Below are 13,995 nucleotides of genomic sequence, written 5' to 3'. Positions count from 1 at the left end.
TAATTTATGTTTTAGAAAAGTTCTGTGGCCTTTTTTTTTTCTTTCTTTGAGACAGAATCTCCCTGTTCCCTGTATCACCCAGGCTAGAGTGTAGTGGTGCAATCAAGGCTCCCTGCAGCCTCAACCTCCTGGGAACAAGCGATCCTCTGGCTTCAGCCTCCCAAGTAGCTGGGACCATAGGTGCACATCACCATGCCCAGCTAGTTTTTTAACTTTTTTGTAGAGACGGGGTCTCGCTGTGTTGTCCAGGTTGGTCTTGAACTCCTGGTGTCATGTAATGCTCCTGCCTCGGCCTCCCAAACTGCTTGGGATTATAGGCATGAGCCGCTGCACCCAGCCTGTGTTTTCTATTTAAGTAGAAATAGAGGCTAGAGAGACTACAAATAAATAAAAGAAATATATTTTGCTTCCCATGTTGACACTGAGGCCAATATAATTTTTATTAGCTGTATCTTGGCATTACTCACCTCATATTCCTATGTGAAATAATAGAAACACACAGTAATATATTTAGCTCCAAAGTCACTTATTTTTTAAACCTGCGTTGTCTAATAATATTAGCTCTGGCTGGGCACTGTGGCTCACGCCTGTAATCACAGGCCGAGGTGGGTGGATCACATGAGGTCAGGAATGCAAGACCAGCCTGGCCAACATGGTGAAACCCTATCCCTACTAAAAATACAAAAAATTAGCTGGGTATGGTGGCAGGCACCTGTAATCTCAGTTACTCGGGAGGCTGAGGCAGGAGAATCGCTTGAACCCAGGAGGCAGAGGTTGCAGTGAGCCAAGATCGCACCACTGCACTCCAGCCTGGAAGACAGAGCAAGACTCTGTCTTAAAAACAAAACAAAACAAAACAAAATTAGTTCTGGATATAATGTCATTTGTGTTCTAGTCCTGTCTCAGGTAACCATTTTGACATTTGGACAGTTTGCTTACAATCTATAGAATATTCCGATTGAAGTTGCTTCTGTGTTGCTTCTAGTTCTGAAAATATTTTATCCTCTTACTGACTTGTAAATAACTTAAATGATTCTAAATGTCCTTACTCAATTATTCTTTGTATTTACCTGTTGTCATTATTTTGTTTTGTTTCTGTTTTTATGGCCATGCTTTAGGATTTCTAAAACACTGTATTTATATATTATGGTATACCTTGAGATACTTTATTTGATCATGTGTAATTTACATATATATATGTATGGGATTAGAACATTATATTTATTAATTATTTTTATGAGGCATAATCTTGTTCTGCCACCCAGTCTGGAGAGCAGTGGCATATCAGCTCACTGCAGACTCTGCCTCCCTGGTTCAAGCAATTCTTGTGCCTGTCTCCAGAGTAGCTGGGACTACAGGCGCAAGTCACCACACCCGGTTAATTTTTGTATTTTTTGTGGTGACAGGGTTTTGCCATGTTGGCCAGGCTGGTCTCAGATACCTGGCCACAGGTTATCCTCCTGCCTGGGCCTCCAAAAGTGCTGGGATTACAGGCTTGCCCGGCAGAACATTGTATTTAAAATCACCTAAAATTATTTCTGCTAACATATTAACTTTGTAATACTAACTCTCACTGTTTGTGGAACTTTCTTTTTCATCTAGACTGCAGTTCGTCATGAATCATGCAGTGGTCTCTATAAGTTATCCCTGTCAGGGCTGGATGGAGGAGACTCAATCAATCGTTCTTTTCTGCTATTGGCTGCCTCAACATTATTGAAATTTCTTCCTGATGCTCAAGCACTCAAACCTATTAGGGTAAGATTTTACTGTGTTTAGAAGCAGTTTCTATTTTTGAAATTTCCTTTGCCTCAGTTTACCGTTGTAATATATCCTTAAAATTTTGATCATTTGACTACTGTATGTGATTTTTTACCAAGAGGATAGTAGTTATATACTACTTAAGGTGACAGCATTGTGACACATTGTGTCCATGTTACTACTAGGAAGAGACTGATTTCAGCTCTGTGGTCTCTCATGGATACTCTATTTTAGAAATAGCATTTATTCTCACTCGGTTCTGGGCCTTGTGTTAATAAGTTGACTAATAAAAAATCATAAATGGAGCTCTCTTCTCTAGTAAGTCACAGTTTTCTTTTTATCTTTATGATATTCAGAATTTTAAATTTTATTTCCTACCCTAGTTCATATACTAGTCTTTAAAAGGCTTCTAATACATAATAAATTTAGAGCCCACTTTTTACTAACCCCAGAAATTCAGTGTGTTGTTGGATTTACATTATTTTCCTCCCTGTTCATATCTTTTTTAATGTCAGTAATTTGAGACTAATATTTTCCTAAAAGTTCTTACGTTTGTCATTTTTTTGCCTGGTTATTCTGATTTTACAGAAACTAAGCGTGTACTCCATTTTTAAAAAGATTTTGAATACTGTTTAGTGGATATAGGAATTTATTTCATAAAGCCTCTAGTTTCTTAAATGTATTATAATTTTATTTATTTTTAAAATGTTTTCACAAAGTATAAAATTTTTTTAATAGATAGATGATTATGAGGAAGAACCAATATTAAAACCAGGATGTAAAGAGTATTTTTGGTTGTTATGCAAATTAGTTGACAACATACATATAAAGGACGCTAGTCAGGTATGTTCAGAAAATTATATACTATTCTATGTATTCTCTTCTTGTTAATATGAATTATGACATATGTTCATGACTTTATTGGTTATTAAGTGTACTTCATTAATCTATAACTTGGTGGTGGTGTCCTATTTCTACTATATTTGTGCTTTTCCACCTTCTTCTAATTCCTTTCGTGTTTTTACTCAGACCTTAGTTGAAACGTCTTCATCTGGTATCTATCCATAATTTCCTGTCTCTTCTCAGTAAGATACGTGGATGTAACATCTTATTTGGAAAGGGAAATGTAGATTTTAAATTTAAAAATACAGCTTTCTATAATAGCATGTAGTTTGGAGTCCCAAATACGTAAAATAAAATTGCAGTTCAGATAGAAGTTACTTTAAAGAAACACTGTCAGTTTTTGCATATCTAATTTTCTTATACTGGACTAAAATGACATTTCCATTCAAACAAAGTAATGTTTAAAACAAGTAAATTTCAGGCCAGGTGCAGTGGCTCACGCCTGTAATCCCAGCACTTTGGGAGGCCGAGGCGGGCGGATCACAAGGTCAAAAGATGGAGACCATCTTGGCCAACATGGTGAAACCCCATCTCTACTAAAAATGCAAAAATTAGCTGGGCATAGTCACAGGTGCCTGTAGTCCTAGCTACTCAGGAGGGCTGAGGCAGAATCGCTTGAACCCGGGAGGCAGAGGTTGCAGTCAGTGAGCTGAGATCACGCCCCTGCACTCTAGCCTGGCGACAGAGTGAAACTCCGTCTCAAAAAAAAAGTAAATTTCAAAGCAAATCTTGCCACTTAAAGACTTGCGTTTTTTCCAGTGTACATAAATTTAGTCGACTAAAATGTGTCTAAGTTGTCAATTCAGAAGAAAATGAGAAACACATAAAGAAGATCCTTTGAAATATTTAGGACACGTTTTTCTTAAACTTTTAAATGTATTTAAATCAAAGTTCAATATGTTCACTTTACATTTAAAAGTTCTGTGGTGTTTATACTTTTTGCTTTTTAGTTAACATCTGAATTCTTAAAATCTACTTTTCATTTGAGAAATAATTACAAAAATTAGTATTGAGCAAGTTTTAATATACTTATTGTTAATTAAAATATTGATGCCAAATAAACATTGTACTTTAAAAAAAAAAAACAACCTGGGCTTGCCCATTTGAGCTAAAATAGGAATCTGATCTTGCTTGCTTGTAAAGTAATTTTCCTTTTTAGAGATTTGGGTTTCTTTGAGGGGACTCAAGTTAGATTTTGTGAAGTCTGTTTTAATGTTGTTGTTTAGTTATAACGAGAAGTAAAGTTTTTTTGGAATGAACTGTAGAATTTAGTTTATTGTTAAAAGTCTAATTTAAAGGTATTATTTAAAACAAACGGTGAATTGTGTGTGAATTACATCTCAATAAAGTCATTAAAAAAAACTTCAGTGTCTTAATAGATTACTATGACTTTTTTTTTTATTATACTTTAAGTTTTAGGGTACATGTGCACAACGTGAAGGTTTGTTACATATGTATACATGTGCCATGTTGGTGTGCTGTACCCATTAAATCGTCATTGACTTATTTTATTATCAACATTCCATTGATTGTTTTTTTGTAGAATGATCAGTGATGTTTAAGACTCATTTGGTTAATTGACATAATGTATAAGTAAAGAGTAGGTGTATTACGTTTATAACTTATTGAATTTGGGAGAACTAAATTATTGTTACCTATAAGGAAATGATTTTAATAATTTTATGTTTGGTAAAACATAAAAAATTTATATTTGAATTTTTATTTTCTTTTTGTATTAAGACAACGCTCCTCGACTTAGATGCCTTGGCAAGACATTTGGCTGACTGTATTCGAAGGTAAAATTTGATGTGAAATTGACATTTATATTGTCGAGGAAAGATAAAAGACATAATTATGTGAACTATCTTGCTTGTGTGTATTTTTTTTCTTTTTTGTAGTAGGGAGATCCTTGATCATCAGGATGGTAATGTAGAAGATGATGGGCTTACAGGACTCCTAAGGCTTGCAACAAGTGTTGTTAAACACAAACCACCCTTTAAATTTTCAAGGGAAGGACAGGTAAGTGTTAAGATAATCAAATGTTTCTATGAAATGTGATTGAAATTTTTTGTTGTTACATTGTGTATTAGTCCGTTTTTACACTGCTCATAAAGGCATACCCGAGACTGGGCAGTTTACAAAAGAAAAGGGTTTAATTCGACTCAGAGTTCCATGTGGCTGGGGAGGCCTCACAATCGTGCCGGAAGGCAAGTCCGGGCAAGTCCGAGCAAGTCGCATCTTATGTGGATGGCGGCAGGCAAAAAAAGAATGAGAACCAAGCGAAAGCGGTTTCTCCTTATAAAACCATCAGATCTCAAGAGACTTATTCACTTATCACAAGAACAGTATGGGGGAAACCGCCGCCATGATTCAGTCATCTCCCACCAGGTCCCTCCCACAACAATGGGAATTATAGGCAATATAATTCAAGATGAGATTTGGGTGGAGACACGGCCAAACTGTATCACATTGTATGTGGATATGTTAATTTTTTTAAACATACAGACATAAAAATTGCTAGAAATTACCGACAAGAAAAGCAAATTTTGAATAAATTGAATTCTGGAAATATAAAACGGGCTTGTTTTTAGAATACAAAATCAGATGTTAATTCCTGTGACTGACTGAATATAGAAAGGTAACCTAAGGCTGGGCACGGTGGCTCGTGCCTATAGTCCTAGCACTTTGAGTGGCTGAGGTAGGTGGATTGCTTGAAACCAGGAGTTCGAGACCAGCCAAGGCAACATGGTGAAACCTCATCCCTACAGAAAATACAAAAATTTGCTGGGTGTGGTGGCACACACCTGTAGTCTCAGCTACTCAGGAGGCTGAGGTGGGAGGATTGCTTGAGCTCAGGAGGTCGAGGCTTCAGTGAGCCATGATCACACCACTGCACTGTAGCCTAGGTGACAGAAGGAGAACGTGTCTCAAAAAAAAAAAAAAAAAGGTAACCTATATTTTATCAGTGTGCTTTCTATAGAATTGTATATTTTGAATTACTGTCCTAAACTGTGAATCATATCCTAATACAGTGGAATTAGTAAGTAGTCATTATTGGGTACTCGTTTCATATTTTAAAGACCTGTGTGACATGAAATCTATCTCTGAATATTGGAAACACTTCGTGACTCTGAACCAACAAATGTCTCATTTTGATTGTCTCTTGATTAAATAGTTCATCTTACCTTAACATTGGTGCATTTGTCCTGGTCATTGTAGGAATTTGTTATGGTCTGGAGAGCTGTTACCTTAAAGTTACTGAATGTGTTAGGAAATAGCAACCAAAAGGATAGAAGATTGTCCTCATAGGCATAGACTAAAGGATTCTTGAGATCAACTTAAGATTACAGTCTTATCTGTTTGAAATCTTTGCTACTTCCCCTAATGCACAAAACTCCTTCTTGTGCTATTTCTTTCAGGTTTTTTGCCTTTTCCATTAGACTCACTGGAAATGATTTGATAGATTTACAGCCTTGTTGATTGAAGTCTTCTCTTATATATAAACTAGTATATAACTTTTATCCCCAAATATAAATATATTAATTGGTTTTTCTGATAACGTTGTAAAGCAAAAGTCATTGTTAAGAAAAAATAATTTTAGATAGTACAAAAAAAGAATATTCCCATTTGGTTTGATTTCCTCTCATGCTATGGTGATGGCCTTCCAGGACTTTTCATGGATACAGTAAATACGCATGTATAAAATTCATATTTATAGAAATTTTACAGTTTATAAATAGTATTCTGTGATCGATTTTCACTAAAAAATGAGTACATTAAAAAAGAAAATGTATTTTTAAAAATTGACTAAGAGGCAATAATTTAAATCTTTGACATTTATGAAGTTATAGAAAAAACTGTAAAGGCAGCATCTTTGCATACTTGTCCCATTATTTACTCAAGAACTCTTAAAAGTAAAATAGGTTGATTTTAATCCGTAGTTTATGTTAGTATACAAAAGGATACATCATTTTACACTTGTAGCCACACTGTATGAGAATGCCTTTTTCAAGCATCTGCAGATTCTTATGTCACTGAGATATTTGCCAATTTTGATGTTGATTTAGTTTTATTTCTTTGTTAATTGGTGAATGGGTTTCTTTCCATTTACTTATTGTTTGTATTTGATATTTATTTGTTCAGTCAGTATATGGTTTCCCATTCATTTGTAAAAGTTATTTATTTTGAATATGTCAGCTCTTTATATCATATTTGCTGCATGTATTTTTTCCAAAGTCTTATTTCTCTTTATTATTACTATTTTTTTACTTCTCTTCTGTTTATTGATTTATACAAGTTGTCATCCTAGGACAAATTTTTGAGGCTTTAAAAGGTGGATATTATTAGACCCAATTTTGACAGATGATGAAACTGAGGCATAGACAGGTTAAACGAGTTGTGCATGACTGAGTCACTTACTCTTCACTTGGCCAAGCTTTTAACCATTATACAATACTGTCTACACATGATAACACATTAAACACAGTGTTCTATACTTTGCTTTTTTTCACCTATCTTAGATATTTTCAAATTCAGTATATAAACAGTTCATTTAAAAAAAAAAAAGGGACAGGGTCTCCTTATTCAAGCTGCAGTGCAGGGGCACAATCATAGCTCATTGCAGCCTTGAACTACTAGATCAAGTGATTCACCTGCCCCAACCTCCCAGGTGTCTAGGATTATAGGCATACGCCATCACACCCAGCTAATTTATTTATTTATTTATTTTTGTAGAGATGGGGTTTTGCTGTGTTGCCCAGGCTGTTCTTAAACTCCTGCCCTTAAGTGATCCTCCCGTCTTGGCCTCCCAAACTGTTGGGATTACCGATGTGAGCCAACGCACACCGCCATGCTTGGCTATTCATTTTGTAAAAGTAACTTCAAAATATTATTGTTATTATCTTTGAGACGGGGTCTGGCTCTGTCACCCAGGCTGGACTTCAGTGGCATGATCTCAGCTCACTGCAACCTCCACCTCCCAGGCTCAAGCAGTCCTCCCACCTCAGCCTCCCAAGCAGCTGGGACTACAGGCAGGCATCACCATACCCGGCTAATTTTTAAAAATCTTTTGTAGAGACGGGATTTCGCCATGTTGCCCTGGATGGTCTCAAACTCCTGGGCTCAAGCAGTCCTTCTGCCTTGGCCTCCTAATGTGCCAGGATTACAGGCATGAGCCACCATGCCTGGCCCAGAATATTATTTTATCTGCATATATGTAATATATTTAGCTTCATAATGATCAACATTGTCTTAAACTATTTCTAGTGATATTACAGAGATCTTTATACATTTAACACATAGATTTAGGAAATGTAGGAAGACATTCTAAAAGTTAGAACTGCTAGTTCATGGAGTATACGTTTATAGTTTTGGTTATGTTAAAAACGAAAACCAAGTTAACTGTCTGTGGAAGCTGAGCCAATTTATGGCTGTACCTACAACCTGAGATTAATTTCCAATTTTCCAGCATTTCTACCAACATACTATACGTTTAGATAATTTCTACCAGTCTGATAGGTGCAAAGAGATTCTCTTGGTTTTATTTTGTATTATTTTTATTAGTAAGGCTGAACTTCCCTTCAAGTGTTTGAAAGCCATTTGTGTTATCTTTTCTCTGACTGCTCAGATCCTTTTCCTTTATCCCTGTTATGTATGTTATAGTCCTTAACTAATTTGTAGAATATTTTATATTAAGGAAACTATCTCACTGTAATATGAATTGCAAGTTTTTTTTTTTTTTCTGTCTTGACTTCATGTTTTTTGTTATGCTTGTTTCTTATTTATTTATTTATTTGAGACAGAGTCTTGCTCTGTTGCCTAGGCTGGAATGCAGTGGCATGATCTCAGCTTACCTCAACCTCCACCTCCCAGGTTCAAGCAATTCTCCTGCCTCAGCCTCCCTACTAGCTGGGATTACAGGCATGCACCACCATGCCTGGCTAAATTTTGTATTTTTAGTGGAGACCGGATTTCGCCATTTTGGCCAGGCTGGTTTTGAACTCCTGACCTCAGGTGACCAGCCCACCTTGACCTCCCAAAGTGCTGGCATTACAGGCGTGAACCACCTCACCTGGCCTGCTTATTTTCGAAGCCAGAATTTTTTTTTCATGTAGTCAGGTGTATTGATCTTTTACAGCTACTAGATACTGTGTTATACTTTTAAAAACTCCCTGTTTTTTCATGCTTTCATAACTTAATATTTTACATTTAAGTTTTTCTATCAGGAAATTGTTTAGGTGAAAGGAATGAAATGGATAACTTTTTTTCAGATATGTACCCAGTTATCCTAATAATTAACTAATTTATTTTTTTTCTACTGATTACAAATGCTTCCTTTTTCAAATAAACTACCATATGTATTTCTGGACTTTCTGTTTCATCTTATTGATTTGTTTGTTCATTCACCAATATCATATCTTAATTATGTAGATTTAATATCCTGTAGAGATAGTCCCTTTGTTTGTTTTTTGAGACAGTGTCTCACTCTGTCACCCAGGCTGGAGTGCAGTGGTGCAGTGGCTCACTGTAACCTCTGCCCTCCAGGTTCAAGCGATTCTCCTGCCTCAGCCTCCTGAGTAGCTGAGACTACAGGCACCTGGCACCACACCCAGCTAATTTTAGTATCTTTGATAGAGAAGGGTTTCACCATGTTGGTCAGGCTGGTCTCAAACTCCTGACATCAGGTGATTCGCCTGCCTCGGCCTCCCAAAGTGCTGGGATTACAAGCATGAGCCACCACGCCTGACCAAGGTAGTCCATTTTCATTATTATTTCTTTTCAGTATTTTCCTGGCTGTTTATTTTTCCACATAAACTTTAGAATCAGTTCATCTAGTTCTTTAAAAAAATAAAATTGTGTTACTTTTTTGGTTGAGATTGTATTATATTTCCAGATTGATGCAGAATTAACTTTATGATACTCAATTTGCCTGTGGAAGAGTATGATTTGTTGTATTTATGCAAAGCCAATCGTTTTATGTTTTTTATTTAGAAGATTCTTTTTCCTACAAAATTTAGGTTTTAAGTATTTCTTAGTAAGTTTATTCTTAGGAGTTTTGTCCTTTTTGTTGGTATGTTGATATGGAATCATTGCTTATGTTTTTTAACTTGTCATTTATGTGTAGTAAGAATTTGTGTATACAGTTGTTGCAGGCCATCTGAAATTGACTTATTGTTGGTAGACTGTTTTCAGTTATCTTTAGCTGTTAGTGTTCTTTGGTTCTTCATTTGTTTTTGGTTTATTATCTGCAAGTAATTCTTGTTTTTCTTTTATTTTCCCCAAGCAGACTCATGTCACAATCATCTGCAAGTAATTCTATTACTTCCTGTTTTACAAGTTTAACTCTTTCCATTTCTTCACCAAATTTTTTCTGAAACATTCAGAATAATGTTAAGTTAGTTGTTCTTAGCATTCTTTATTGAAAAGGTCTTCATGTTCATGTCAAATTATAATTTCCCCTTCGTTTCAGTGTTAAGGGAAAACTTTAGAAGCTTTCATACAGGAGAGATGTGATCTGAATTAACATTTCAGAGGGTTTACTCGTATGCTAGTTGGAAAATTAGTCTGTGGGCAAACTCAAAGGGCAAATGTATGAGTCAAGGGATCCAGTTAGGAAGTTTTTCGATGGTTCCAGAGAGGGACAATGGTGAAAAGTGCTTTGACGTGGAATATTTATTGAAGGTAGAGCTCACAGGTCTCAGATTTGGATATATATGTTGGATTTGAGAGAGGTTAATAAAGAATGACTCCTAATTTTTTTTTTTTTTTTTTTTTGAGATGGGGTCTCCCTCTGTCACCCAGGCTGGAGTGCAGTGGCATGATCTTGGCTCACTGCAAGCTCTGCCTCCCAGGTTCACACCATTCTCCCGCTGCAGCCTCCCAAGTAGCTGGGACTACAGGTGCCCGCCACCACACCCAGCTAATTTTTTGTATTTTTAGTAGAGACAGGGTTTCACCATGTTAGCCAGGATGGTCTCGATATCCTGACCTCACGATCTGCCCGCCTCTGCCTCCCAAAGTGCTGGGATTACAGGCGTGAGCCGCCGTGCCCGGCCAAGAATGACTCCTGAATTTTAAGCCTGAGAAGCTGAGGGAATGGTAATGCCAATTATTAAGAAAAGAAAAACTCAGAAATGTCAGAGGGTAATAGGCGGTAAAACCAAGAGTTCTGTTTTGGAAATGTTAAATTTGAAATGTCAATTAGATATCCAAGTAGAGGTATTAAAGGCAGTTGGTTTTCTTGTAATATTAAGGAAAATATGCCTTAACTCCAAGATATTTAAAATCTCTTCCACTCTAATGATTTTTACTTTTTTCCTTAAGTATTTTTAAAAAATAGTTCTAGAACTGAATTTCATGCAGAATTTGGTAAATTTTTTCTATAAAGAAACATGATAAATATTTTACACTTTGCAGCTGCATAATAATCTGTCATCAGCAACACTACCACTATCACTACTACTGCTTCCTCCTCCTTCCCCCTTCTTCCCCTCCTTTCTCCTCTTTCTTCTTTCTTTTACCTTTCCAGTAGTGCTAATCTTCATTCTTCCTTTCTTTCTCCTCCTCCCTTCCTTTTTCTTCCTTTTTTCCTCCTTTTGCATTCCTCCTTTCTTCTCCTTTTAAAGTATGAGTATCATTCCTATCTCTATTGCCTTGCATAGTGTCTAAAAACTATGTTGAGCAAATGGATGATTGCAACTCAGACCTGATTCTTAGAACTGACAGTCAAACAGTACATTTGTCTTATGCAAAATTTGCGTGTACCCTTAAAATTATGGCTGCTCATGATATTTATACTTCATGGAAATAAATAATAGTTATTAAAAAGAGATATCATCAGAGATTTAGAAGATCAGATTGCATTGACATGATTAGGAAAGGCTTTGAAGAAGATAAAGCTTCACCCAGGTTGGAGTGCAGTGGTGCGATCTCGGTCCACTGCAACCTCTGCCTTCCAGGTTCCAGCGATTCCCCTGCCTCAGCCTCCCAAAGAGTAGCTGGGATTACAGGCGTGTGTCACCACACCCAGCTAAATTTTTGTTGTTGTTGTTTTGTTTTGTTTTTGTAGAGGCGGGTTTTCACCATGTTGGCCATGCTGGTCTCGAATTCCTGACCTCAGATGATCCGCCCACCTTAGCCTCCCAGTGTGCTGGGATTACAGGCATGAGCCACCGCGCCTGGCCAGATACAGCTTTTTTAATGGATATCTTTTGTAGAAAAGTAAGGGAAACATTTAACTCATAGGAAAGAATATGAGTAAAAATTAAGTCATAGGAAAGCAATGGTTTCATGCAGAAAATTGGTTGGTTCAGTTTAGCCTATGTTTTAGGAAGTATAGGAGAAACTTGGTGGCCATCTATTGTGGGCACAGGAAATTATTTTTATATATAAAATGAAAGCATTATTGTCTTAGTCTGTTCAGGCTGCTGTAATAAAATATTGTAAACTGGGCCAGGCGCAGTGGCTCATGTCTGTAATCCCAGCACATTGGGAGGCCAAGGCAGCTGGATTGCTTGAGCTCAGGAGTTTGAGACCAGCCTGGCCAATGTGGTGAAACCCAGTCTCTACTAAAAATACAAAAATTAGCCAGGCATGGCGGTGCATACCCGTAATCACAGCTACTCGGGAGGCTGAGGCACGAGAATCCCTTGAACCAGGGAGGTGGAGGCTGCAGTGAGCCGAGATCGTGCCACTACACTCCAGCCTGGCAACAAAGCAAGACACTCTCAAAAATAAATAAAATAAAATATTGTATACTGGGTAGCTTATAACAACAGAAATTTACTTTTCACAATTCTGGAGGCTGGGAGTAGTACAAGATCAAAACTCTGGCAGATTCACAGTGTCTTGTGAAGGCCTACTTTTTGATTCACGGAGTCTTGTGAAGGCCTACTTTTTGATTCACGGATGGCACCTTCTCATGAAGCCCTTAGATGATGGGAGGGGTAGGAGGTCTCTCTACTGCTTCGTTGATAAGGGCAGAGTCCTCATGACTTAATAACCTTCCAAAGGTCCCACCTTCTAATACCATCACATTGGTGGTTAGGTTTCAACATACAAATTTCAGAGTGACGAAAACATTTAGGCCATGGCAATTACTTTTGTAATTTTAGGCTGGGAAGGGATGGGATGAAGAGAGATTGGCTAATGAATACAAAAATACACTTGGAGTAATAAATTCTAGTGCTCAGTAGCATAGTAGGATGACTATTGTTAAAAAATTTTTTTTGTGTATTTCAAAATAGCTAAAAGGGAGGATTTGAAATATTCCCAATAAAAGAAATGATAAATGCTTGAAATCACAGGTATTCCAAATACCCTGATTTCATCATTACACATTGTATTTATGTGTCAAAATATAATATATTCCATTAATATATATAATTATTATGTATCAGTAGATAATTGTAAAAACAGGAGCCTTTTAAGGTTTTGATCAAATAATGTCAAGGATGTACATTAACAAAATAAATCTGGTAATGGATTGCAAGCCAGCAGAGTGCACTGGTCTTTAAACTTTTATTGTTGACATATTTCTTAATCTTGAAAAACCTAGGTGTCTCCTCAAAGATTTTTTAAATTTGTAAATTTGTGAATTTTAAGTCTTTGTAGACAATATACATTCAGGAAATTATTGAATTATTGTTTTCAAAGACAAAATTATGGTCCTCTTTTAGATTAATGAAATGTAAATGCTGTAGCAACTTTTATTCATCTCTCTTAAAATGTATAAACTCTCAACTGTAATCCCAGCACTTTGTAAGGTCGAGGCAAAAGGATTGCTTGAGCCCAGGAGTTGGAGACCAGCCTGGGTAACCTGGTGAAACCCTGTCTCTATTAAAAAAAAAAAAAAAAAAAAAATTAGCCAAGGTGGTGAGCATCTATAGTCCAAGCTACGCAGGAGGCTGAGCTGGGAGGATTGACTGAGCCTGGGAGATTGAGGCTGCAGTGAGCCATGATCCCACCACTGTCGCTAGCCTGGGTGATAGAGTGAGATCGTCTCCAAACTCTCCTTTCTGAAATTTTACTTAGCTAAATTTTTTCCTAATTCCTCCTCAGTATTTCCACTTGATTCCCCCACAGAATGTAATTGTAATGTATTTATTAGTATCTTTGAACATCTTTTATTATTTGCCTATCATACTTCTCTACAACAAAATATATGTAAGTTAATAAAATATTTCCTGTGTACATGATATTGTCTTAAATTTCTTCTATATTTAGTTATTACATTACATTTATTATTAGGACATGGCAATTGAAGGAGCATAAATATACTTTGTTTTGCCAAACTAGTATGAAACATTTAAAAATGAAATTTTACTGAATATATGC

General features: G+C 36.5%; 1 protein-coding gene across 1 annotated transcript in view, besides 2 other annotated features; it reads left to right on the top strand.

The window, feature by feature from the left end:
• The window catches only part of USP34 (ubiquitin specific peptidase 34), a 283,625-nt gene that overhangs the window by 188,243 nt on the left and 81,387 nt on the right, over positions 1 to 13,995 (top strand). Inside the window, exons 38-41 of the mRNA NM_014709.4 lie at positions 1,603 to 1,755; positions 2,497 to 2,601; positions 4,402 to 4,457; positions 4,560 to 4,680. Of these exons, the coding sequence (NP_055524.3) occupies positions 1,603 to 1,755; positions 2,497 to 2,601; positions 4,402 to 4,457; positions 4,560 to 4,680 (435 nt within the window). The remainder of the gene's footprint in view (positions 1 to 1,602; positions 1,756 to 2,496; positions 2,602 to 4,401; positions 4,458 to 4,559; positions 4,681 to 13,995) is intronic.
• Positions 4,162 to 5,361: an enhancer, noted in NCBI's record as "MED14-independent group 3 enhancer chr2:61504619-61505818 (GRCh37/hg19 assembly coordinates)". NCBI's record gives its function as "activates an origin of replication core promoter dependent on BRD2, BRD4, P300/CBP and CDK7 cofactors, and independent of MED14, by STARR-seq in HCT116 cells {active_cell/tissue: HCT116}" and the evidence as "EXISTENCE:reporter gene assay evidence [ECO:0000049][PMID:35650434]".
• Positions 4,374 to 5,123: an enhancer, noted in NCBI's record as "H3K27ac hESC enhancer chr2:61504857-61505606 (GRCh37/hg19 assembly coordinates)". NCBI's record gives its function as "activates a minimal SCP1, AML or CMV promoter by ChIP-STARR-seq in primed H9 embryonic stem cells {active_cell/tissue: H9 hESC(primed)}" and the evidence as "EXISTENCE:reporter gene assay evidence [ECO:0000049][PMID:30033119]".

The sequence above is a fragment of the Homo sapiens genome, chromosome 2, assembly GCF_000001405.40.
Source record: "Homo sapiens chromosome 2, GRCh38.p14 Primary Assembly".
Taxonomy (NCBI): domain Eukaryota; kingdom Metazoa; phylum Chordata; class Mammalia; order Primates; family Hominidae; genus Homo; species Homo sapiens.
The sequence above is the reverse complement of the archived record's forward strand: the minus strand, read 5'-3'. Positions and strand labels throughout refer to the sequence as shown.